At 41.0% G+C, this 26,768-nt stretch overlaps 1 protein-coding gene and 1 pseudogene across 3 annotated transcripts in view, besides 2 other annotated features; one reads left to right on the top strand and one right to left on the bottom strand.

The window, feature by feature from the left end:
* KCNJ15 (potassium inwardly rectifying channel subfamily J member 15) overlaps positions 1-14,780 on the bottom strand; it is a 77,432-nt gene extending 62,652 nt beyond the window's left edge. For all 3 annotated transcript variants that reach the window (NM_001276439.2, NM_001276437.2, NM_001276438.2), the window contains exon 1: positions 14,683-14,780. The gene's annotated coding sequence lies outside the window, so the exon portion shown is untranslated. The remainder of the gene's footprint in view (positions 1-14,682) is intronic.
* On the top strand, positions 6,040-6,661 carry SPATA20P1 (spermatogenesis associated 20 pseudogene 1; annotated as a pseudogene).
* Positions 14,945-15,239: an enhancer, noted in NCBI's record as "tiled region #13169; HepG2 Activating non-DNase unmatched - State 24:Quies, and K562 Activating DNase matched - State 9:DNaseU". NCBI's record gives its function as "activates a minimal TATA promoter and a strong SV40 promoter by Sharpr-MPRA in HepG2 and K562 cells {active_cell/tissue: HepG2 | K562}" and the evidence as "EXISTENCE:reporter gene assay evidence [ECO:0000049][PMID:27701403]".
* Positions 20,245-20,539: an enhancer, noted in NCBI's record as "tiled region #5297; HepG2 Activating non-DNase unmatched - State 24:Quies, and K562 Activating DNase matched - State 9:DNaseU". NCBI's record gives its function as "activates a minimal TATA promoter and a strong SV40 promoter by Sharpr-MPRA in HepG2 and K562 cells {active_cell/tissue: HepG2 | K562}" and the evidence as "EXISTENCE:reporter gene assay evidence [ECO:0000049][PMID:27701403]".

The raw sequence follows: 26,768 nt of genomic DNA, 5'->3' as shown, positions 1-26,768 counted from the left end.
GTGTGCAGGGACTAAGATGGAACCAGAGATAATGATGTTTTTGGCATGGTTAGGACTTGCTCAGTTCTGCCGGAGGAGGCAGTTGGAGACTGGAGGTACTCTTAGTGTCCTCTCCTGTCAGGCACTTCAATAGCTCTCCCAGAGATAAACCCACTCCAGATCAGATAAGGGCACTGCCTGGATGAAATAGAAAGCACTCCCAGGAGATGCGGAAGTTAGTTTGGTAACAGCCAGGTGAGGAAAGACAATAGATCTATATTCTGATCTTAAGGTCCAATTCAGGTCAGGTTTCTGCACCAAGCCTGGGATGTGTCGTGGTCCCTGCTTCCCTGGTATTTTTAGAGCTTGAACTAAGACACCAAAGTCCACCTCTTGGTCCTAAGTTGTATACAGACCTGGGAGAGAGAGAAGGAGGTACAATCTGGCTTACGTTACACAAAACACATCAAATCTGGTACAATTCTTTCTTTCCCTCTTCTAGACTTTGGTGGGTTCGAAACCAGTTTAACCACAAAAAGCAGTCACTAGCGGCTTTGTCTCAGGTTCAGTTTGTATAAACAAGATAGTCACAAAGACAAAAAAAAAATTAATAGGAGAAATAAAAAGACGGTTACATTTCTTAAGTGGGTCAAGCCTTATATAATCTAAAAATGAAATAAAGACCCAAGCTTGAGGGTCACTTAGCAAATCTTTATTCATATAACAAATGGCCAACAATAGAAATGAAACTTAAATGATCTCATGTAACTTACTCAGAAACACAGTGGAAACAAAGAGTTCGTTTTTAGAAAATGGTTATTTTATGACAATAACCGTCTAGTGCTGGGCCAGCAAACTATAGCTCCCAGGTCAAATGCAGCCTGTCATTTGTTTTTTGCAAATAAAGTTTCATTTCAAGACAGCCATGCCCATTTGTTCACAAATTGTTTATGGCTGTTTTCAGGCTAAAATGGCAGAGTTGCAGAGTTGTGATAAAGAAATATAGGCTGGGCATGGTGGCTCACGCCTATAATCCCAGCACTTTGGAAGGCCGAGGCGGGCAGATCACCTGAGGTCAGGAGCTCGAGACCAGCCTGGCCAACATGACAAAACCCCGTCTTTACTAAAAATACAAAAATTAGCAGGGCATGGTGGCAGGCTCCTGTAATCCCAGCTACTTGGGAGGCTGAGGCAGGAGAATAGCTTGAACCTGGGAGGTGGGGGTTGCAGTGAGCCGAGATCACGCCACTGCATTCCAGCCTGGGTGATACTCCATCTCAAAAAGTATGGCCGCGAAACTCAAAATATTTACTGCCTGGACTTCTTTCAGAAAAAGTTTGCCAACCCTCGATCTAGCAGATCAAATACTATAAAATACACCTTTTGAAACAGGCTTTCTGGGGAAAAAACAAAACAGGTTATTTCCAACAAATGATTATTGAGCACCTGAGTGTAAGTGTTGTCCTGTGAATTTCAGGAAATAAACAGATGCATCTTTAATAATCCTGCCCTTAAGAAAATTACAGCCCAGCAGGAAAAAAAAAATCAGAAAAGAAGATAAACAATTTTAAAGTGTCAAAGCTCAAAAAGCCACACAAAATCTTAACTTTCTAAAAACGTGGCCCAAATCTCAGTAATTATAATGATAAGAAGATTAAAAGCAAGAGAAGTTCAATAACTGAGCTGAAGTCACACAGCCAGGTAGAGAGGCAGGGCTTGAATCCCTATCTTTGTTTCTTCCTTGCATACTACACCATTTGATTTAATCATTTTATTTGTTCAACATTTACCAGGTTTTAATTTAGCATCTACAGTGGGCCCGGCACCCTTCCATAGGATATGGAGACTGCAGTAAACAAAACAGACTTCCTACCCAGACGAGCTTACTGTCTCTTTCCCTTAAGCTTATAAGTGAGCATACAAATAGTTTGTGTAATGAAGATGTGGGCTGGGGGAACACAGAGCAGGTGGCAGGAGGGGAAGGTGTCCCTGATGAGGCTGCTGTTAGATAGAGCCTCCTGGGGATGGAGGAGTCAGCCAAGAAGTTGCACAGAAAGAGCTTTAGCAGGGAAGGCCTCCAGAAGAGAGATGCTGGGCGTGTGTCAGGAGAGGCACGAGGGCAAGGGCTTAGGGAAAGACGTCCTATCGATCTTCATAGGCCATCTGAAGAACTTGAAATGGAGCTACTTGGGGAATTTAAAATGGTTCCAATGTTGGATAAAGCCCCACCTCTTTAAACTCTTTGCCTCTGAGTGCTGGTTTGGTTGGGTCTCAAAGAGTATGTGTGTGAGTGTGTGGCAGGCACCATGGGGTCGGAGTTTCCACATATAGCCCCGTGTGCAATCTTGGTTCACAGTAACCCCAGCTCACTATCACTGGGGCAGAACCTGCATCAGAGAAGCAGCAGTGGAAACAGCGTGCATTTAGGATCAACTTCAAGTTGATTTGGGAAGTGCATAACTACCATATTGCTGGTTCCCTGGTTACATTTTCTGTTTGGGTAAACAATCAAGAGATGGTATGAAAATTGCACATCCAAGTCTTGCCTGCACAAAACAAAATGACCAATTATCACAACGTGGATTAGAGGTGACTAGAGCCCAGAAGTGTGGCCGTGGGCTCCAGGATCATCAGCCTGTTAAGAATAATCCTCTCTGGACAGTGGAAAGCCGCTTTTCAAACACCGACTCTGGGACCATGTGGACAGAGGGCAAAAAGGGAGCAAGGGAGAAAGCCATTTTTTTTTTTTTTTTTTTTTTAGATGGAGTCTTGCTCTGTCACCCAGGCTGAAGGGCAGTGGCATAATCTTGGCTCACTGCAACTTCCACCTCCCTGGTTCAAGCGATTCTCCTGCCTCAGTCTTCCAAGTAGCTGGGATTACAGGTGCCCATCACAATGTCCAGCTAATTTTTTTTGTATTTTAGTAGAGACGGGGTTTCACCATGTTGCCCAGACTGGTCTCAAACTCCTGAGCTCAAGCAATCCGCCCTCCTTGGCCTCCCAAAGTGCTATGATTACAGGCATGAGCCTCCATGCCCAGCCGTGAGCAAGTCATTCTTAAACAATTTAGACTAAAATGTGAGATAATTCATGAAGGGTGGAAATCCCAGATTGCTTCGATAGTATATTTTGCCCAGATTTATTTAGGTAGTTGCCTCAGCATTTCACACTGTAACAAATTCACTGTTGGTAGCAGAGGACCTGGATCTAAGAGGCCAAGTTCATTTGCACGAGATGAAAATTCCACCGTGCTGTCCCAGGCCTCTGCCATTCGCCGGCAGACTGGGAGTGTCCAGCAGGCCCCGTCACAGAGACTGTGGGCTCACCCTGCCCACTTGTGTTTTGAACTCTAATATCCCAACCTTTGCTGAGAAATCTAGAACAAAATCAATACTCCACTGCAGAGGGAGGGTGGCTTGGATGTTTTGCACTTGGAGAAACTGCAAACCTGAAAATTATCAGGAAGAAAAAGAAAAATCTTACCAAAGCGCAAACCAGACACTTGGCACCCACCCTGTGTGACACAGGGCTCCCCGCCTGGCAGGAAAACCACAGTAAAGAACTGATTATGCTGTTAGAACGCATTCCATGGGCTGTCCAGGGCTATTTTTATTTTACAATAAAGTACAATATGTTCCATGATGTTCTCTATCCTGGGCATTCTTCCTTGTATTTGCATACTCATTAATCCTGGTAAATCACAGAGAATCTGTCAATAATTTGAACAAATTAACCAGATTTGGGTGTGTTTATTAACTTCAAGAGCAATATTAATACACATGTATCATTTTTATTATAAGCAGAACACCAGTGGCTGGTACCACCTGTTGAGTATGAAAGCCCTGAATGCGAGATGTGCATTTCAAGAAACTGAGCTCCAGGAAGACAGACTAAATGCCAAGGTTTTACAGACTAAATGCCAAAGTATGATGCTCATCAGCAAAAGGAACCATATTTTTAAATCTTTTTGTTTTTTAAAGAGAGATCAATTTTGAAAATAATGTTTGGTCAAGTGTTATTTGGTCAAAAAATGTACTAAATCCATGTAATAGAGCATTCCAGGAACTTTACCCATAAGAAAATAAATGTTCCTGTTTTAACTTAGACTCCATAAAAATTAAAACTGTTTTGGAAGAAGGAATGGCTTCCCTGTAACATAATGGATATTCAACAACTCAGATGCATTTTGAGAACAACTTTCCATCCACCTCTGAAAGGAAAACAGACAACTGGTGTAAAATTACTCCTAAAGCCCAGACCATGTATTAATACTTGAACTGAAGAAAAACTTCCTTGCTAATGCTTAACTTGTTATCTTAACCACTTTTGCTTTTTCAGAACTTCCTAGCTACTTTTTAACCATTTCCAATCAGGAAAACTGGCCAGAGTGGCTTCAAATATAATCATTAGGCCTCTAAGGAAGGTCTAGACTTGATGAACTTTGCAAATTCCTCCTTGTTTTTATTCTTTGCAGACTTAGAAAAGTCTAGAGGTCAAGATGGGGTTAGCCACCTGCAATGCTACGATGGGAGTCTATATTTCTTGATGGCCATTAAAAAAATAACAGGAAAGCAGCAATCACTGTAATAAAATGTGCTGGTACTTGGAGAAATAAAGGTAGAAAGAGGTAGAAAGAACCCATAAATTTAAGTACAACTATCAAACTATTCATGGAGAAAAAATAGGGCATACACTCCAAAACTAGAGGCTAAGAGGCTGCAATAAAAACAAAGCTCATATATGCAAATTTACACCTTGTAAGAAAACGTAAATAAACCACAATTCTTGTTCTAATGTTTTAACGTCAACTTTGCTGACAAGATCAGGAAACTTGAGCCAAACATCTGCATCAAATGATAAATTCATGGCAAAAATGTCCTGTTTCCACTGTAGGGCAGTCACGGCAAAGCAGACATAAAATAAATGTTTTCTACTTTACTTAAAGTTGGGATATGGGCCCAAGCTGACTTCTCCACACTAGGAGTGGTGGCACTTGTATTTTGTTTGTAACTCAATTTTTTACTTTAAGATAAGGTTGGCAGACCTACGATTTCTCGTATCTTTGGTTTGCTCACTGGCCTGCAAAGATCTTGTGCATCTATGCCATACCTTGTTCTCTGTATATTATTTCTAATTAGTTTTCCTAGGGTACCAAAAATGTGGTTGAAATTAAGTACCTTTTCGGCCTTGCCAGCTGCAATGGAATTTTTTTTTGAAGCTCATCAAGAGAATAAAGGGGAGAAAGTGAAAAAATAAAAATAAATCAGGACCCCAGAAGAGGCTTCGCAGAACGCATGTGCTCAGATTCTCTGCCAAGGGAGTCCTCTAGACTGCTAGTTTTTGGGGAGGTGGGGTCCCTGAGCCGAGAGCCATAACTAGCTATTGAATTGAACATATTTTATGGCTTCGTGGCTTTGTGACCTTGTCGTGGTCAAACAGCAACCTGTGGGAACTGAGCAGTGGTCACAAACATCAAAGTTGTAAAATAAATGTCAAATCAAAGAGATTTCTGGTTGAATCCTTAGAGGTAAGTGTCAACATGCCTTTAGGGACACCTGCCTCACTGAAATATTAAACACAAAAGCAGCTAGTTCTGAATGCTTCTCCATCAGCACCATAAACATAGATCTTTTCTTCCTCCTCTAATAGCAAGCCAATAACCACCTTCTCAATGGAAAATGGTGCTTCTGCAAGTCACCCTTCATCACCACCCAGACATTTATTGTCATATTTGAAAACTATTGGTAGGGCTTTAACTTGCAGATCTTCCCAAGTGACTTGCTTTTCAACTGCAGAATTATTTTTAAGCAGGGAGCAACATCTGAGTACAAAAATGTGAGAGAGAGAGAAAGGTTAAAGAGAGAACTGAAAGGGAGAATCATTTTTTACTATACTTTTGTTTTTCTACACCACGCTCTGGACAATAACATATTGGAAAGCACTTTTATCTAATCATTCTGACTCTTCTCCCCTCTTTTCCTTCCAGTGGGGAAAACAACTTCCTCTTCTGAACAATCTTTCAGAGGACATTCCTCCTAGAGTTTAAAACATTACAGTCTCCAGAGCCCAGCGCCAATTCCGTGTCAGCCCACAACCCGCTCTGGTTGCACAGCTTCACGAGTCACAAGGACTGGATGGACAAGTGTGTGTGCCTAGTGACTGCCTTCTCCCAGCACATGCACCATGTCCCGGTGGCATTGCCGGAGATGGTCCGTGCCCTCTCAGCCCAGCAGCAGACCCTCAGGCAGATCACCATCTGTGGAGACCGCCAGGCCAAGGACACCAAAGTTCTGGTGCAGTGCGTCCACCCTGTCTACATTCCTAACATGGTGCTGATTCTGGCTGATGGGGACCCCTCGAGTTTCCTGTCCCACTGGCTGCCTTTCCTGAGTACCCTCCGAAGGCAGGAAGACCAGGCCACTGCGTATGTGTGTGAGAATCAAGCCTGCTCAATGCTCATCATGGATCCCTGTGAATTACGAAAACTGCTACATCCGTGACTGCCCCAACCCTCTTGGGCTGGGGCAGAAGGTAGAGCTTCCCAACTGACTAAAGACTCAGGTCCTGCAGGGCCGTGTAGAACTTGTGGCCATCCCTGAGCACCCTGCCACCAGGTGACTTCAGCCATACTCACTGCCTCCCTTGGGCACCCACTCACCCTAGAATAAACTTAACAGTATCCTACGGTGGGGAAAAAATTACAGTCTCCAGCCTAGAGGACAGAATTAGGCTGTTTTGCTTTCTATCGTTATTGTTACTGTTGTTCTTGTTGTTGTTTTTAGCTTGTGTGTTCCCTTTGTCTTTGCAATTAACAGAAGGACATACCATTGCGATGGATCTTTAGGATGCCCATATTTATAGCTGAACACACTCACTGGGCCCTGCTGTGTCCCAAAGGGTAGCTCTCTTCTTCCTTCTCATGGTTTTCCTCTTGCTCCTTCAAGCTTTGGAAAAGGCTACATTACTGTAGTTCACTGGACTTGGTTATGTAACAAAAGTGAGCCAGGTACCTCAACACCATTGATCCTTGTGGACAGCCAAGGTCACTTTTCATCTTTGAATGGAGGTCAGCAGGAAAGACGAGATGGCTGGGCTGGCAGAGTCTGCTGCCTGCCCCCCCGCTCACCTCCATCCTGCACTCCTGTGCTAACAGCCCTCCATTGTGGCCACTAAAACACCACATTTCTCAGCCTGCTGTAAGATGCCAGGAGAAGGGTATTGAGACAGTGCAATAAAGAGTCTGACTACATTTCTGATGTCTGGCTGCATTCAAATCTCATTACTCCCTCTTCTCCTTTTGTTCCATATCCAGGAAGCTGAAAAGAAGGCCCAGGTGCTCCCTCCTTTGGAATTGGTGGGAAATTTAAACCCCACAAGCCTCTACCCCTGTGCAAAAGCCTTCACCCCAGCCTCATCTCTACCCACAATAAACGCCAAGCCAGTCTCTCTTCTCTGGATTCTAAAGCTATTTTTGGATCATTATGTAAGCAATAAACCTTTCCATACTTTCTTAGTGGATTCATATATGGTATCATCAGTCTCAACATCTGAACCAAATTTTGGGTGAGAAGTTCGTCCTGCCTCTGGGAAATCTCTTTAGAAGAGTTTGCCAATAGACATGTCATCTTTGCCCATTGCCCCTTTCCCTTCCTCTTGCTGCTGGTGGACCAAACAGCCCTCTTGTAACACAGAGTACCACGCCTGTGCCAAGGATGACTGAGTAGAAATGAAAAGGAACTGGGTCCCTGGTGACATTGTGAGTTACCCTCCCACCCATAGACTGTCTGCTTCTGGACCCTTCAGTCAGGAAGAACAAGCTGAATGTGTGCAGCCGCTTATAGTTGAAGATAATCCCAAACATAAGGCTTATGATTGAATAATCTTTTATGACTTCAGGAGCAGAAATCAGTATTTTTCCTGGGATGTGAACAGGCAACAAACATAATACTTGTACCACACATAGGAGTAAGCCATTCTCAGTGGAGGGCCCCTGTAGCTAAGGGACACTGGAATTTCCAGGGCTAACCTCATTTTGGGTGAAACGTTAGGGGAAACAAGGCTGCATAAATTCACAGGGAGAGCCTGTTTCCATCACTGGAAAATGGTCTGAAAATCAGTCTACAGTAGATTTTAAAGATAGTTTCAGAACAAAGCATCTGACTTGGGAATCCACCCATATGTGTCTATCTCATGCTGTTAATGGGCTTAAGAAAATGAAAGTGTCAGGAAGAAACGGCATGTTTATGGAGCACCAAGTCAGCCACTAGCAAAGTACTAGATATGCAGACAGAGGAGAATACAGGCTTCCTCCCCTACCCCCTGGTGGAGGGTATTTGTGCAGTAATACTCTAAAAAGTCATTAAGAGAATGACATCAGGTGCCTTCTAATAGAATTAGAATTTGATTTCATTTGTCCAAAGCTTTTGTTATGTTTATATTTTTCTATATGGATACAAATACCAGCCAGAGCAAGTGACGGTGAAGAAAATCATGTCAGCCAGGTACAGGAAACTGAAAGCTAGACTCACCATCCCTGCCTCAATAAGCCCAATGGCATTTCTCATCCTGACCTGGCAGGTAAGACAGAAAACAGAGGGGTTGGGATGCAGAGCCTCCTGGGCCTCCATATAAGCATTGGGATGAAACAATATAATATTTATTTTTTGAAGAAATGCATGAATAAAAAGTCTATGGGCAAAAGGAAATAATACAATTGTGGAACAGAAATATTAACACAATCTAAACCATTTATCATTAGAAAAATGATATATTCTGGAAAAAAACATTTCTAATTGAAGCTCATCAAAGATCCAAATGTTTTATCTTTATATTTCACTTAGTTGTCAGTAAAAATTGCAAACAACTTCTAGAGTGCTTTACAGATGAACAGATGTTGATATCTTTAAGCGGTATTTTATAAGTAACTTTAAGTACTCAGTATCTTAGTAATTTTGCTAGTCCACATTTCAAAGACAAAATTTGAAACATTCATATTATTGATAGAGTAAATGTGCAATCAAAACAAAGAAAAAAACAGGAGGACAAATTATACTCACTGAGCTCTTGCTGTGGCACTCCCTATGGTAGCAATCGAGGGTATCTACACTTGATTTTCAAGGAATAATAAATAAGCTCAAATTCCAGCTCAACTTTTTTTGTTTGTTTTTTTGCTTGAGATGAAGTCTTGCTCTGTTGCCTGGGCTGGAGTGCAGTGGCACGACTTTGGCTCACTGCAACCTCCACCTCCCAGGTTCAAGCCATTCTCCTGACTCAGCCTCCTGAGTAGCTGGGATTACAGGCGCGTGCCACGACGCCCAGCTAATTTTCGTATGTTTAGTAGAGACGAGGATTCACCATGTTGGCCAGGCTGGTCTGAAACTCCTGACCTCATTTGATCCACCAACCTCGGCCTCCCAAAGTGCTGGGATCACAGGAGTGAGCCACCATGCCCAGTCCCAGCTCAACTTTAAAAAAAAAAAAATAAGAAATTTAGTTAAATCTCAAAGCAGTTTGTGAAATGATTTTCTGACAAAAAAAGAAATGGAAAGAAACGTCTGCTTCAAGAAAGAACCTTCAAAAAAGAGTGCAACGTTTCTGTGTCCAAAGAGTGATTATAGCTACTCTTCAATGAGTACACTGATTTTATTTTTCCTGAAAGTTAAGGTCTCAGTGGAACTCCCAGTATTTCTTGATTTTAGCATGAAATACCTTATGTGGGTGTCGAGACATCATATCTGTGTTTGAGCATGGAGAAAGTGATCTAGCAACACACCCAACCTGCCTGACAGGTATTGTCTGTACCTGAATGGCTTACTCATGAGTCACAAAACATCTCTGTTGCCAGATTTGCGTTTGATTTCATTCTTACTTGTCTGACTCGGGATGCTGAACAAATTTTAAAATTCAAAAATATAAAACATTGTAAAAAAGGATTTGCTCATTATTCAGCTTCTGAAAAAAGATGTCTTTATGCATAAACTCATATTTGTTGAAGTGTTTATATAAGAAAAAGAGCTCTCTAGTAATTCTAACTGCAATATTCATGTTGGTTCTCTATAACCATAGGAATATCAGACATTGAAGCAGTTGTGATAGTTTCAGTGCATTGCTGTCCTGTTCATAAAAGGCTCCAGAGTTGTGAAACTCTCGTTAATAACTTGGAAAGTTCCTTTAGGCTTAGCCTTGGGCAGTCTTTTGAACAGATCACAAAGTTACAAAGTCTCTTAATTACCATTGTTAATTCTTGCTAGAAGGAAGTTGTTTCTATTGGGTGTTTCTCTTTAGTCGGCCAGGAACCCAGGGCTGCAGTAAGTAATCATTTTTCTATATTGTGTAGAATAATTGGACACAAGGGTGTCCAATCTTTTGGCTTCCCTAGGCCACATTGGAAGAAGAAGAATTGTCTTGGGCCACATAAAATACACTAACACTAAAAATAGCTCATGAGAAAAAAAGAAACCCTCAATGTCTTAAGAAAGTTTATGAATTTGTGTTGGGCCACATTCAAAGCCATCCTGGGCTACATGTGGTCCCCAGGCCGCAGGTTGGACAAGCTTGGTGTAGACCTTTCACTCAAAATATAATCTAGGGCTTATAACAAAGATAAAATCTAACATATTTATCAAAAAGAGCCCAAAGGAGGTGAAAGGGAGTGGAGCTGTGTTGGAGGAAGCTGACAACTGTTGGTAACCTGAATGCACAGGAAATAAATGAAGAGACTCAGAAAGGATAAATAAGAAGATTAATGAAAGAAATTCTACAAATACGTATTTCTCTCCTTTCTTCTCTCAGCTTCTTTAAAAGACATAAAACTATATAAAGTAATAATTATAACAATATATTTTTAGGTTCGTTACATATATATAGGTAATATGTATAATAACAATATTAAAAAAGAGGAAGAGAGAATAGAGCTATGTAAGAGTAAAGTGTCTATATTTTACTTGCATTAAGGTAGTACACATCATTCTGATAAGTTAATATATAAACTGTTCATACTATTCCCTTATAATAATTTTTATTTCTGTAAAATTAGTGATGATATTCCCTCTTTAATTCTTGATTTTAATAATTTGAGTCTTCTCTCTTTTTTCTTAGTCAGTCTACACAGCCCTAGGGCAACCACTAAGAAAACAGCTAAAAATATACTAAAAATCACTAAAAATTAAAATATTATACTTCAAACATTAATTTAATACAAAAGAAAGTAATAAAGGTGGAACAGAGGAACAAAATGTGATATGAGACATATAGAAAGCAAAGAGTAAAATGGCAGACATATATCCAATCACAGTAATAATTATGCAATGTGAATGGATTAAACAGTCAAATCAAAAGGCATAAGTTGTTAAATTGGATAAAAAAACAAGATTCAGCTATATATTGTCCACAGAGGATAAGTTGAAAGTAAAAGAATGAAAAAAGATATGTCGTGCCACTAGCAACTTTAGAGAGCCAGAGTGGTTATGCTAATATCAGACAAAATCAACTTTAAGACCAGAAAATATTAGTGGAGATAAGGAAGACACATAATAATGATAAAAGGGCCAATCTATGAGAAAAAGGTAATAATTATAATCATATAAATACCTAACAACAGTGTCCCAAAATACATAAAGCAAAAACTTATGGAATTGAAGGAAGAAACAGACAATTCAACAATAATAGTTAGGGACTACAAAATCTCACTTTCAATAATGTATAGAATGGGAAGAAGGTTATAAAGGATATATAATTATAAACAAACAACACTATAACAAACTAGAACTAACAAACATCTATAGACCATCCGCCCACAAACAGTAGAATATACATCTTCTTTTCAAGTGTACATGGAGCTTTTTTCAGGACAGTCCATATGCTAGGCCATAAAACAAGCCTCAGTAAATTTAAAAGGTTTGAATAATGCAAAGTATATTCTCCAATGACATTGGAATCAAATCAGAAATTAATAATAGAATAAAATTTTAAAAATGTATAAATATTTGGAAATTAAATAACACATTCATAAATAAAACCAGTGATTCAAAGAAGAAGTCATATGGGAAATTCAGAAATCCTTTGAGATAAATTAAAACAAAAACACACCAAACTAAAATGAATTGGATGCAGTTAAAGCAATGTTTAGAAGAAAATGTATAGCCATAAATATCTACATTATAAAAGAAGAAAGACCTCAAATCAATTACCCAAACTTCCACCTTAAGACACTGCAAAAATAAGAGAAAATGAAACCTAAAGTAAGCATAAGAAAGTAATACATAAAAAATAGAGCACTAATTAATGCAATAAAGATTAGAAAAGTTATATCAAAACTTAATAACCAAAAGTTGATTCCTTGGTCAAACCAACACAGTTGACCAAATTTCAGCTTGATTGACTAAGAAAAAAAGAGAGAAGACTCAAATTATTAAAATCGAGAATTAAAGAGGGAATATTATTACTAACCTTACAGAAATAAAACATATTATAAGGGAATGGTATGAAAGATTGTATGCCATGGACATAAATGAAATGGACAAATTTCTAAAAACACATAAACCACTGCAACTGACTCAAGAGGAAATAGAAAATCTTAAAAAAAAAAAAACCTCTAATGAATGAGTAATTTTAAAACTTCCCAGAAGAAAAGCCCAGACCCAGATAATTTCACTAGTGCATTCTACCAATTATTTAAAGAATCATTATTTATTCAAATGATTATTACAATTATTCAAAAACTCTTTGAAAAAATAGAAAACAATTCCTAGCTCATTTTATGAGGTTGGTTATATGGACACAAAAACAAAAGATATCACAAGAAAACCAGACCTACATCTATTACGAATATAAACACAAAAGTTCTCAACAAAATACAAGCAAATTAAATATGGATACATACAAAAAGGATTACACACTCACTATGACAAAGTGGGATATATCTCAGAAATATAATGCTGGTCTAACATCCAAAAAACCAGTCGATATAATGCCCCATATCAATAGAAAGAAGAACAAAAAAACACGTGGTCATTTCAATAGAGCATAAAAAGCATGTAACAAAATCCAAAATCCATTTATGATAAAAAAAAAACTATTCAATAAACTAGGAATAGAGGAAAACTTCTTCAGCTTGATGAAGGGTATCTACAAAAACAAAACAAACAATACAAAATCTCAGCTCATATCATACTTAATGGTGAAAGACTGAATGCTTTTCCCCAAAGCTCAAGTACAGCATAAGTGTGTCCACTCTCACTACTTCTATTTAACAATATATTGGAGGTTCTAGCCTGGGAAATTGGGTAAACAAGATAAATCTTAAAAATTAAGATTGCAAAAACATAAGGAAAAGTTCTTATATTTACATACGACATAATTTGGTATGTAGAAATTTTAAGTAATCTACTATTAATAATTAGAATAAATTAATTTAGAAAGGTTGCATTATACAAGATAAATATACACAAATTAATTGCATTGTTATAGGCTAGCAATGAAGAATCTGAAAAGAAATTAAGAAAGCAATTTTATTTATAACATCCAAAAAGAATAAGATACTTGGGAACAAATTTAATGAAAAATTATAAGACTTTCACAGTGAATACTATGATGCTGTAATGTAACACTTTGTACAACTACAAAACGTTGTTGAAAGAAATTTTAAAAGACCAAAATAAAGGGAAAGACATCCCATGTTCATGGATTGGAAGAGTTGTTATTGTTAAAATAGCAACACTCATCAAATTGATCTATACATTCAATGCAATACCTATCAAAATTCCAAATGGCTATTTTGTAGAAACTGACATGGTGATTCTAGAATGTATATGGGAATTCAAAGGAACTAGAGTAGCCAAAAGAATCTTGAAAAAGAACTAAATTGAAGATCTCACACTGATTTCAAAACTTATTTCAAAGCTACAATAAACAAAACAGTATGGTATTGACATAAGGATAAACATATAGATCAATAGAATAAAATTGAAAGCCCAAAAGTAAACTACTTAATTTCAATAAGTAGTGCCAAGATAATTCACTAAGGACATTATATTAACTTGAGGTAGGTCATAAACCTAAATAGAAGAGCTAAATCTATGAAATTCTTGAGAGGAAACATGAAAGCAAACTTTGTGAACTGCTGTTAGAGATGACAATAAAAACAAACAAAAAAAAACTGACAAGAGAGAAAAATAGATAATTTGGACAATAGTATAATTAAACATTTTTGTGCTGCAAATAATACAATCAGGAAAGTGAAAAGAAGACAATCCACAGAAGGGGAGAAAATATTTGCAAATCATATATCTGATAATGGGCTCATATCCAGACTGCATGAAGAATTTTTAACAACTTAACAATAAAAATATAAATAGCTGAGTTTAAAAAACAATAATGGATCTAAATAGACATTTACCCAAAGAAGAGAAACAACTTGTCAATAAAAACATGAAAAGATGTTCAACATCTTTAGCCACTAGGGAAATGCAAATCAAAACCACAATGAGATACTACTTCAAAACCACAAGGATAGTTATAATGAAAAAGACAGATAATAACATGTGTTGGCAAGGATGCAAAGAAATTGGAATGTTCAAACGTTATGGGTGGTAACATTAAAAAAAAGAAAAATTTTGGCAATTTCTCAAAATATTAAATACAGAGTTATTATATGATCCAATCATTCTATTCTTAGTTATATACCCAAGAGAAATAAAAACATACCTCCACATAAAAATTTGTGCATGAATGTTCACAGTAACACTCTTCAGAACAGCCAAAAAGTGGATGCAACCCAAATGCCCATCAGCTGCTGAATGTATAAACAAAATGTGGTATTGAAGCAAAAGTTAAAAAGAGGAAAAACAAATTTTTCTCCTTTAGGCAACTCGAGACCCCGACCCCCCACCCAACCCCGTGTGCTATTGTATCCTGGGAAGTTTTGTAAGTTTGCAAATTCCTGTTTTCTGTGGCTGGTTTCTGTAAGTTCCTGCTTTCCATCCGGGTGACACAGTGAAGGACACAAGATAAGCTTGAGCAAGCCTAGATTACAGCCACCTGGGCCGCATAGCAGGAGTCACATGACATGCTTAAACAAGCCTGAGTTACAGGCCTGCCACTGTTTGATAAACTGCCTTTGTTACCTGCTTTCACGCCACTGCGTTTTGCACCACTGTAAGCTTGTTTCAAACTAGCCAACCCCCTTTCAGAAGTGTGTATAAAAATCAAGCCCTGCCTTTGTTCAGGACTCAGCCTTTGGTTGTTAATCTGCTGGGCCTGAGCACACTCAATAAAATCCTCCTGTTCCACCCAGTAGTCTCTCCAGTCTCCTCATTCCTGCAATATTTTGGTGAACCAGCCAGGAGTGGAGATGACAGGTTTGCTGTCTCCTTTGCCTGTGGGTCTGGGGCCCTGAGCTGGGGGAGACCTGTGACCTCAGGCATGCCATCGGGGAACTTAAACCCAGAGAAGGGATTGGTTCTTCCGTGATCCAGTACCCCTCCCTGACAGCGCAACAGAATCCAAGGGATTACAGGATGATTTCAGGGATAGTGCGCCACAGGACTGTGGTAAGGTTTGGGGCCCAAGACAGGACCCATCCCATAAGGACAGAAGGGGAGCCTGATCAACTCCTAGGGGTGCACTGAGTAGTCTGACCCAGGATGTGGGAGTGGCTCACAAAGTCGGATGAAACCTACACCCCACCCAGAGAAAAGGAATGGGGAGCAGGGAAGTGTGTGAATGCATGTGAAAGAGGCAGTTCTAAAAGGAGTCAATGTGGGGAGTGAAGTGTGTGGGGCCACAGGTCTCTTAGCATAGACCATACGCCCCTAGCAAAGTGTGGGACCAACCAGGACTAGTGGCAAACGTCCTCCGGGGCTACCACATATGGCTTAGGGAGGCACCCCACAATTCAGTGATTGTGGTGGTCCAGGTTTGGGACTCATATGAACCCTCCATTAAAGCTAAGCAGCATCTGAAAGTTCCCATGAGGGAGATGGTCTAATCAGTCTGAAGAGAAAGTAAAAGAGTGAATAAGTTGTGTCATAACTGGGAGGAAATGGGAAGGAAGCTGTCAAAACCCACCCCATTACAATGTATGTTAAAGAACTTCAAGAAAAGTTATGCAGAGTGTTGTGGGATCAAGTTGACCCCCCAGAGGTTGAGAACTCTCTGTGAAATAGAATGGACCTCTTTTGGTGTGAGATGGCTGGTCGAAGGAACTATAGATAGGGAAACAATTGGCCATGTATTTAAGGTGGTGACTGGGTTGGGAGGACAGCCAGGGCATCCAGACCAATTTCCTTATATTGACTCATGGCTACATATAGTCCAAAACTGACCTGCGTGGTTGCAGCTCTGCCTGACAGCTTATGGCAAAACACTCGTGGCTCAAGCCAAGCTTAAAGTGAAAGAAAAATCAGCTTCGCTGTCAGCTACAGAAACAAAGGGAAAGCCACAGGAAAAACCAGTTCTGCAGGAATCACCAGAGGAGATAGGAATCCTCCCTACAGTCCAATCTACCCGCCTTTACTAAGGCCAGCCCCCGAGGAGTCAAATTCAAATGGTAACGAACCCTGGGCCTTGCCTCAAAAAGAAAAATCAAAACCACTGCCCCAGGTCAAGGAGGAAAGTCAGGATGATCAAGCCTGCTGCCTCCAGTCTGGCCATGCCTGGGCTTTGCAGATGCCTCCCCGGGAAACTCAGGGACCCCTCTATTATACTGAACATGGCCAGATTCAAGGGGAGAGAAAAGGAACCCCTCCTCTGGGAGGCTGACCAGGAGAAAGCATTTAAAAAAATCAAAGAAGCCTTAACACAGGCCCCAGTCTTAGGACTGCCTGACATAACTGAGCCTTTCTTTCTATATGTCCATGAACAAAAAGGAATGGCTGTAGGAGTCCTGACTCAATTCATAGGATTGTGGCATCGCCTGGTGGCATACTTATCCAAGCAACTAGACTCAGTGGCACTAAGGTAGCCTCCTTGCTTTAAGACACTAGCTGTCACTGCCCTACTGGCACAAGAAGCTAACAAACTGACTCTAGGGCAGCAGCTGACCATCCAGTTACCACATTCAGTTATAACTCTAATGAACCAGAGAGGGCATCACTGGTTATCAAATCCAGGAATGACTCAGTACCAGGGACTCCTATGCAAAAATCCCCACATAGCTTTAGAAACAGTAAACACCCTTAACCCAGCCACCTTGCTCCTGATTGAACTGGGAACCCCACTCCATGACTGTGTGAAAATGGTAGATGAAGTATTCTTGAGTAGGGGAGACCTTACAGACCAACCCCTCAGGGACCCAGTTGTTAAGTAGTTCACAGATGGGAGCAGTTTCATACTGGAAGGGGTCCGTTGGGCAGGTTATGCGGTGGTAACGTTGGACTCAGTGATAGAGGCTCAGCCTCTGCCCACCGGAGCATCAGCCCAGAAGGCAGAGCTAATGGCCCTAACAAGGGCTCTTTTGCTGATGAGAGACAAAAAGGTCAATATTTACACTGATTCCAAATCACAAAGACAAAAGTGTGTCTTTGCCACATTGCATGTTCATGAAGCTATATACAAGGAGAGAGGACTCTTAACTGCTGGGAAAAAAAGAAATAAAATACAAAGAGGAGATTTTACAGCTCTTAGGTACTGTATAGGCCCCAAAGAAGGTAGCTGTTATGCACTGCAGAGGGCACCAAAAAGCAAGAACACTAGAGGCCAAAGGAAACAGAAAGGCAGACAGGGAGGCAAAACGGACAGCAATGATTACTCCACACTTTGAAAAGGAATCCTTAGCTATGCTTCTCCTCCCAGAACCTTCCCTCCCCGAGATCCCAAGTTACTCTCCAAATGAGAAGGCCTGGTTTGCCCAAGAAACTGGAAAATGCACTGAAGGAGGATGGTGGAAATTCTCTGATGGGAGACTAGCCATCCCTGAAATGGTGGCCCCTAAGTTTGTAAAACAATTCCACCAAGAGACTCACATGGGGAAAACGGCACTACAAACGCTACTGGGATGCCACCTCTATGTGCCACGGCTCAATGCCCTCACCCAAGCTGTGTGCAGGCAATGTCTAACATGTGCTCAGAATGACCCATAATAACCTACTCGGCCCCTGGGAATTTAGGAAATTGGAGCCACACCCTGTGAAAACCTGCTTATGGACTTCACAAAGCTGCCCTGAGCAGGGGGCTATTAGTACATGCTAGTACTCTTCTGCACCTTGTCAGGATGAGTCAAAGCTTTCCCCACCCAAACAGAAAAAGCACGGGAGGTAACCAAAGTAATGTTAAGAGACATTATCCCAAGATTTGGACTGCCCCAACTCTTGGGTCAGACAATGGACCAGCACTTGTAGCTGAAATAGTTCAAGAACTGGTATGGCTATTAAAAATAAAATGGAAATTACACACAGCCTACCAGCTGCAGAGCTCAAAAAACATAGAGTGCATGAACTGGACACTCAAACGCTACTAAAAAAAATATTGTCAAGAGACCCATCTAAGATGGGATCAGGTCTTGCCCATGGTCCTCCTCTGAGTAAGGTGCACCCCCACCAAACAAACCAGGTATTCACCCTATGAAATCTTGTTCGGCCGGCAACCCCAATTATAGGTCAAGTTAAGGGTGATCTCCATGAACTAGGGGAACTAACTTTAAGAAGGCAAATGCAGGCTTTAGGGATAGCCATGCAGTGTGTCTATGGCTGGGTATGGGAAAGAATGCCCATAAGCCTGACAGACCTGGCACACCCCTTCAAACCCGGGGATGCTATTTGGGTCAAAAAATGGAATCCAACCACTTTGAGACCCATATGGGATAGGCCCCATACTGTAATCTTGCCCACTCACTCTGCCGTTACAGTTGCAGTAATTGTACCATGGATCCACCACAGTCAGCTGAAGCCAGCGGCCTGAGATGAATGGACCAGCCAACAGGATCCAGACCATCTGTGCTGGCCAATCCTACGACGGGACCAAATTGCCATTGAAGACAATGACAGCCCTGCTCTGGTCACTCCAGAAGCTGACCAGTCAACGCACGGCCGAAGCTTGAGGAGGCAACAGCCCTGCTCTAGTCACCCTGGAAGCTGACTAGTTTACACATGGCCGAAGCTCGAGTCATCATCAGGGAAGTCAATATGGTTAGAAATCTTAAGTCCAGTAGCTTTCCTTATAATATTAGTGTTTTACTGCTGTTTTGCCACTTTGCTCAGCCACCTCCCCAGGGTAAAGACCTCTTTTGCCCTTGCTGGGTATAAATATGCTACTCTCGGTACCAACTTGAAGCTCCAAATGCCTGACAGGCACCCTCCGGCCTCTATTGAATTTGTGGACTGTGGGCATATCGGCAACTGCCAGTTAAATGGCCAAGGGCCTGTGTACTAGGAACAATTAGACCGTCTTTCTTTCTAATCCCTTTAAAACAAGGAGAAGCCTTAGGGTACCCTGTCTATGATGAAACTAAAAGGAGAAATAAAAGGGGCATAACCATAGGGAAATGCAAGGACGATTAATGGCCCCCTGAAAGAATAATCCAATATTATGGCCCAGCCACCTGGGCAGAAGGTGGAATGTAGGGAATACCACACAACTCTTTACATGCTCAACCACATCATAAGGTTACAAGCAGTACTTAAAATTATGACAAATGATACAGTAAAGGCCTTAAATCTGCTAGCCCAGCAAGCCACAAAAATAAGGAATGCTATTTATTAAAATAGATTAGCCCTAAACTACCTTCTAGCTGAGGAAGGAGGGGTATGTGGAAAGTTCAGTTTAACTAACTGCTGCCTAGAGATTGATGACAATGGAAAGGTCATCAAGAATATAACTGCAAAAATCCAAAAATTAGCCCATGTTCCATTCCAGGCTTGGAAAAGATGGTCTTCAGATTCCCTCTTTGGGGGCTGGTTTTTATCCCTCAGAGGATTTAAAACCTTAGTAGGAATAGTTTTAGCCATACTAGGAGTCTGCCTCATACTCCCTTGTCTCCTACCTCTCCTTGTTAAGAACATCCAAACAGCTACAGAGGCTCTTGTAGAGAAACAAACTGCCACTCAACTAATGGCTCTAACTAAATATTAACCCTTGCCAAATAAAGAGCTAACTACCTTCACATGAAGAATTAAATAATAATGATTCTTTCTATTAAACCTCATTTATAAAAAGCATCAAAGGGGGTAATGAAGCAGAAGTTAAAAAGAGGAAAAACAATTTTTTTTTCTTTTAGGCAGCTGAAGCCCTGCCCCCCATCACCCCCCAACCTGCCCCGGCCCCATGTGCTGCTATACCCTGGCAAGTTTTGTAAGTTTGCAAATTCCTGTTTTCTGTGGCTGGTTTCTGTAAGTTCCTGCTTTCCATCCAGGCAGCACAGCAAAGGACACAAGATAAGCTTGGGCAAGCCTAGATAACAGCCACCTGGGCCACATAGCAGGAGTCACATGATGTGTTTAAACAAGCCTGAGTTACAGGCCTGTCACTGTTTCATAAACTGCCTTTGTTACCTGCTTTTGTGTCACTGCATTTTGCGCCACTATAAGCTTGTTTCAAACTATCCAGCCCCTTTTCAGAAGTGTGTATAAAAGTCAAGCCCTGCCTTTGTTAAGGGCTCAGCCTTTGGATGTTAATCCGCCGGGTCTGAGTGCACTCAATAAAATCCTCCTTTTCCATCCAGTGGTCTCTCCATTCTCCTGATTTCTGCAGCAGTATCGTTATAAATCCCATTATTCGGCAATAAAATGGAATGAAATACTGATACAGACAACATGGATGAACTTTGAAAACATTATGCTAGAACAAGATGCAAAAGGCCACATACTGTATAATTTCATCAATGTGAAATGTACAGAATAGGCAGAACTATAGAGATAGAAAGTAGATGAATGGTTGCTAAGGCTTACGGTGGGAAGCAGAGGGAGGATGGAGAGATGATGACTAAAATGTACTAGTTGTCTTTTTGGGGTGATTAAAATATAGAACGTAATGTGGCAATTGCACAATTCTGTAAACAAACTTAAACCATTGTATTACATACTTCAATTGTTGAATTGTTTGGTATGTGAATTATATCTTAACAAAGCTCTTAAAAACTTCTAATCCCCATAAATTAGTCATGTGATATAAATTTTAATCTCTTAGTACTTTTAGAAAAACAGTTCAATGTAGCAGCATTTATCAGTGTTGTTGCTGTTGATATTTTGGGTCAAATCATTATTTGTTGGGTGGAGCAAGAGGCTGTTTTGTGTATTTCAGAATGCTACACCCTTGGCCTTTACCAACTAGATTTCACAGCATCCCTTCCCTCAGCTGTTATCACCAAACTGTTTCTAGACTTTGACAAATGTCCCTTGGGGGTCAAAATCACCCCTAGTTGAGAACCATTGTATGCAATGTTTAACAGCAGTAATTGGGTTAAATCTGAAGCCTTCAGCTTCTATTAAGACTTTGTGAAAGGAAGATATCTTGGGCCCCTTCAAGCTGGGAACTGCTCAGGGCAAATCTGATTCTCATTCTATTTCAAAGTCATCCTTCTGCTCACTGAGATAGATGCAGATTCTGATTGCCTCCTTTTGGAAAGGCCTATCAGAAACTCAAAAGAATGCAACCTTTTGCCTCTCACCTACCTGTGACTTGGAAGTCCCCTCCCTGCTTTGAGTTGTCCCCACCTTTCTGGACAGAACCAGTGTACTTCCTTACATTTATTGATTAATGTCTCATGTCTCCCTAAAATGTATTAAACCAAGCTGTGCCCCAACCACCTTGGGCGCATGTCGTCAGGACTTCCTGAGGCTGTGTTGCGGACACACATCCTTAACTTTGGTGAATAAATCTCATAAAATGACTGAGACTTGTCTCATCACGTTCCTCAGTTGACATCCGGTAACCACAAAGGGATCCTGAGTGAAGGTGACCTGGCCTGCAGCAGCTTGCCTATTGGTGCCTGGTGCTGGCTTGGGCACCTTGTAGCCTAAACCAATAGGACGATTGCTGAAGTCCAGGACCTCTTTCCTCCAGGAATCCCTGATCTTCCAGCGTTTTTCAGTTGGGGGCTGAGGTTTAGTTGCTGCTTAAAAACCTCCTTTTTCAGGGGAGTTTCCACTCACTTCGATCAAAAAAGGTGAGCCTGTCTGCTTCTGCATCAGCAGAGAGCAGTTTTTCAGTTTGGGCCCTATCACTAGTAAGAAAGCTGGTTTGGGATTCTGTCTTGCAAATTATTTTTAAATGACCAAAGTTAGCATTAAAAACCTGGACAACTTTATATTTCTAGGAGCTTAAACATTTGCCCTTATTTTTCACATTAAATCTAAAGAGTAGATTATTACTATTACTTTCAGCTTGTATCCTGGAACTAAAGGAGAGCCCAGTTAGGAAAATGGTCTAAGTACAATTGTAACTGTCCACAGATGGGGTCTCCTCTGGGTCTCCATTTAACTATCATACTCAGCACTGCAATTTTAGTGAGTGTTCAATAGAATATTAAAATTACTCACTGCACATTTAGTAGGTTTTCCTAAATAGAAGTATTCAGAAAAATGAAAGTGCATTTATCTTTTATCAATGGTAGACTGGAAATAGAATAAGTATTATTAATACCTATGCAAAGAAAAAGAAACCCAAACAAGACTTAATGGAATTAAAACAAAAATGTTTTACCTGAATTTAGTTGATTTTGGTAACTTAGCCATTACATTTCTCAATCTGTATTCAAGGACCTAAACAAAAATTCTATTGACTGGAAGATGCAAAAGTTAATTTTCAAGCAAAGCAAGAAGGTGTGTGATTTATTCTACCACTATTTAAAACAAAGGTGAAAAAGGAGCAAATGAAAAAAATTAACCATGTTGAAACCCCAGGAGAAAACTGAATTAGAACTGTGAGTCCAGAAATGAGAAAAATGTGACAAACTGGACAAGAGGGTGTTGAATCAGTAACTCATAAAGGGAAATGCATCACTTTCACAAAGAGTTGCAGCAATAAGAGGGAGTAAGGAAAACCACATTCAATATAATGATTAAAAAACTCAGTTTTACACATGCATATTCATAAAAACATATTACTCATCATTGAGTAGTAATACTCATTGTCATACGCTCTTTTCATATTATGAAAACTGGACATCTCACAGCAATGAACTTTTCCTCTGCAACAAAATGATGAATCCTTTCTATCACTGAGCCTACATGCTAATGAAGTATCCCCTGTGTCCTCAGGAACATCTCCAGGGATCAACATACAGTCTCTTACTTTGTATTGTGCCTTTCCACATTCTCCCAGATTAACCTGCACTTGCCCCACCCAATGCTTATTTTTCTTTTCCAACCTGCCCAATTCAAAGAAATGGTCATCATCAAAGTCATCACACCCTGATCTGTACACTTTTTTCTATTTTTTTCTCTCTTCTGGTACTAAACTCTACACTGGACTTTTTCATCTTGACATCCTGCCCTGTGTGTCATGTAGCACCCCTCATCCCAAAAGCCAGATGACCTGGGCCATGAGTGAAGGAGACCAGGATATTCCTAGACACAGAGCTATCTGTTGTGCAAATCCATTCTGAACCCTCTGTGCTTCAACATTGACCACTCAGACTGGCTCCCGTTTTTTTTCCTCTGGGAAATCCCAGGATGCTGGTGCTGAGGGAAGGAGAGACTGAAGCAGCCCTCCATGTAGTGCATGTGGGCACCTGAGGGCATGTGTGCTCCTGTGCCTGGGTGCCTCTCTGTTGCTATGTGGAGCATGTGAGGTAGGATGAGACCCTTGATAACTGAGGTAGCCAAACCATAAAGTTTTTTAAACTTTTATTTTAGGTTTAGGGGTACATGTGAAGGTTTGTTACTTAGGTGAACTCATGTCACGGGGATTTCTTGTACAAATTATTTCATCACTCAGGTTGTTGTGGGAATTAAGGGACAGGAGAGACCAATGGGTGGAACAGGAAGATTTTATTTAGGTGGCCACTGGCCCAGCAGATTAACATCCAAAGGCTGAGCCCTGAACAAAGACAGGGCTTGACTTTTATACATGCAACTGAAGGGAGTTGGCCAGCTAGTGGCGTGAAACCTGCAGGGCGGGCAAGCAAGCTTCACAGAAGCAGAACAAAGGCAGTTTACCAAACAGCGACATGTTTTACAACTCAGGCTTGTCTTGTGACCTTCACCATATGGCACAGCTGGAAAACAAGAACTTACAAAATCCTTGCAAACTTGCAGAAATAGTTACAAAAGTAGTTGTGAGAGCAGATCAAAGGATAATGGTATAGGGAAAGAATTTCAAAGGGGGAAACTGATACGAAGAAACAGTTTTTCTTATACTTGCTTGGGGGAGGAGGTGTTGGGAGAGTCTCTGGAGCTCATTCCTTTGGGCTCTGGCTTTTCAGATAGTGTTATCAAGGCCCCACTAGGGCCCTGCCTACTGCTAGCCTTGGAGTGAGTCAGCCAAGTAAGTACAGGAAAACTCGTTTTTCTCTTTTTAACTTCTGCTTCAAGGTATTAAAAGCCCAATACTCAATTGTTGTCTTTTGTGCTCCGCTCCCTCCTCCCTCCCTGTGCCCTCAAGTAGACCCCAGTGTCTGTTGTTCCCTTGTGTTCATGAGTTCTCATCATTTAGCTCACACTTATAACTGAAAACGTGGTATTTGGATTTCTGTTCCTGGTTAGTTTGCTAAGGATAATGGTCTCCAGCTTCATCCATGTTCATGCAAAGGATATGATCTTATTCATTTGTTATGGCTGCACAGTATTCCATGGTATACATGGACCACATTTTATTTATCTGAGCTGTCACTGATGGGCATTTAGGTTGATTCCATGTCTTTGCTATTGTGAATAAGGCTGCAATGAACATTCCCTTGCACGTGTCTTTGTGGTAGAATTATTTATCAAACCACTCTTGTCTCACAAGGAATTTCTACAAGTCCTTGGAGTCGACAGGATTTAGACAAGCCTGTCTTACCATACCCCAGAACAGTGGGGAAAGTAGGGATGCACTCTCACCCGCTCAGAGTTGCAGTTGAAGGTTCAGAAGGGGCTGGAGTTCCTTTCACAACGAGGAAAGTCCATGGTAACTCCATGCAAAGGCAAAGTTGGCAGGGCATGGTAAATGTTGTGTTTATTTTGTGTTTGGAGGGGTAATTTTTATTCAGAGTGGCAAGCAAATGAAAGGTGCTTCACCTTCAAAGAAAGACCTGCCTGCTTAAAATGTTTTATTAATATAACCTGCAGACTTCTGTCCCTGCCTTTGGATATTTTCCTTGTTTTTCCTCCTGTCCCACTGTTGATACAATCACTTCTTTTTTTCTTTTGAGGAAATTAAAACAGTAAACAGAGTTGGGTTGGCAAAAGATATTTTCATGTGTTACTTGGAACAGATTAACACATATCAGCTTCCCTGAATATCTCAAATTTCACACAGCTCAAGTCCGTCCTCAAACTCTCCTTTAAATAATAAACGACTTCCTCCTTTCCTATCTCAGGAGCGCTGGGCCCTTCCCTCGGGGATGGTTATACTTACGCCATCTGCTGGTTGTTAATGGGACTGCACTTGCTGCTGTAAGCCGCAGTACCATGGTTCTGTGCCCAAGTCCTCCTAGAAAACGGAGGCCTTGGTATTGGTGGACTAATTGAAGAAATACAGATATGCCATTCATCATTTAGAACACCAAGAGGGCCACCTGAGGTGTTAACTTTACTTTTAGGAGTATTTCTTAGAAGAGGATATATTTCATATTTTGGCTCTCCAATTCTTTATGCTGAATCTAAGGAAATATTCTTGAGTTCAGCTTCAAAAACAGCCCAGGTGGCCGGGCGCGGTGGCTCACGCCTGTAATCCCAGCACTTTGGGAGGCCGAGGCGGGCGGATCACGAGGTCAGGAGATCGAGACCATCCCGGCTAAAACGGTGAAACCCCGTCTCTACTAAAAATACAAAAAAAATTAGCCGGGCGTAGTGGCGGGCGCCTGTAGTCCCAGCTACTTGGGAGGCTGAGGCAGGAGAATGGCGTGAACCCGGGAGGCGGAGCTTGCAGTGAGCCGAGATCCCGCCACTGCACTCCAGCCTGGGCGACAGAGCGAGACTCCGTCTCAAAAAAAAAAAAAAAAAAAAAAAAAAAAAAAAAAAAAAAAAAAAAAAAAAAAACAGCCCAGGTGAGGTTATAAATGCTGATGTGGAAATGTCAGAGTATGTGGTCAGTGTGACAACAATCTGGATAACCTGAAAATGTTCATGCTGCAAATGTTTAGAAAGGCTGTATAGCATTAAAAAAAAATGCTTTCAATCGAGGTGCCAGAAACATGTGACCTAATGCTTGCAGGTGGGAATGGAGTGGATTTTGGCTTTGGAAACATATAAGACTAATTTTTATTTCTTTTTTTATAGAGACAGGGTCTCTCCCTGTTTCCCAGGCTGAATCATAGCTCATTGCAGCCTCAAACTCCTGAGCTCAATAAATACTCCTGCCTCGGCCTCCAGAGTAGCTGAGACTACAGGCATATGCCACTGTGCTCAGCTAATTTCTTTAAATTTTTTGTAGCAATGGGGTCTTTCTTTGTTGCCCAGCTGGTCTCAAACTCCTGGCCTCAAGCAATCCTCCTTCCTTGTCCTCTCAAAGTAGTGGGATTACCTCCCGAAGCATGGAGCCAACATGCCAGCCAGAAACCTAAATTTTCAATGTCCATACATGGACAGAAGTTGAGGTCTCGGAACCATACAAAGCAAGAGTGGGAAGTGAGATTTCCTCCATTAGGACAGAACTCTGAAGGTAAGACCAGAAAATTACCTGCATATTAGCACAGGATTGCAACAGGGAAGTCTATC

This window comes from Homo sapiens, chromosome 21, assembly GCF_000001405.40.
Source record: "Homo sapiens chromosome 21, GRCh38.p14 Primary Assembly".
Lineage (NCBI taxonomy): Eukaryota > Metazoa > Chordata > Mammalia > Primates > Hominidae > Homo > Homo sapiens.
This window is presented reverse-complemented; position numbering and strand designations above follow the sequence as displayed.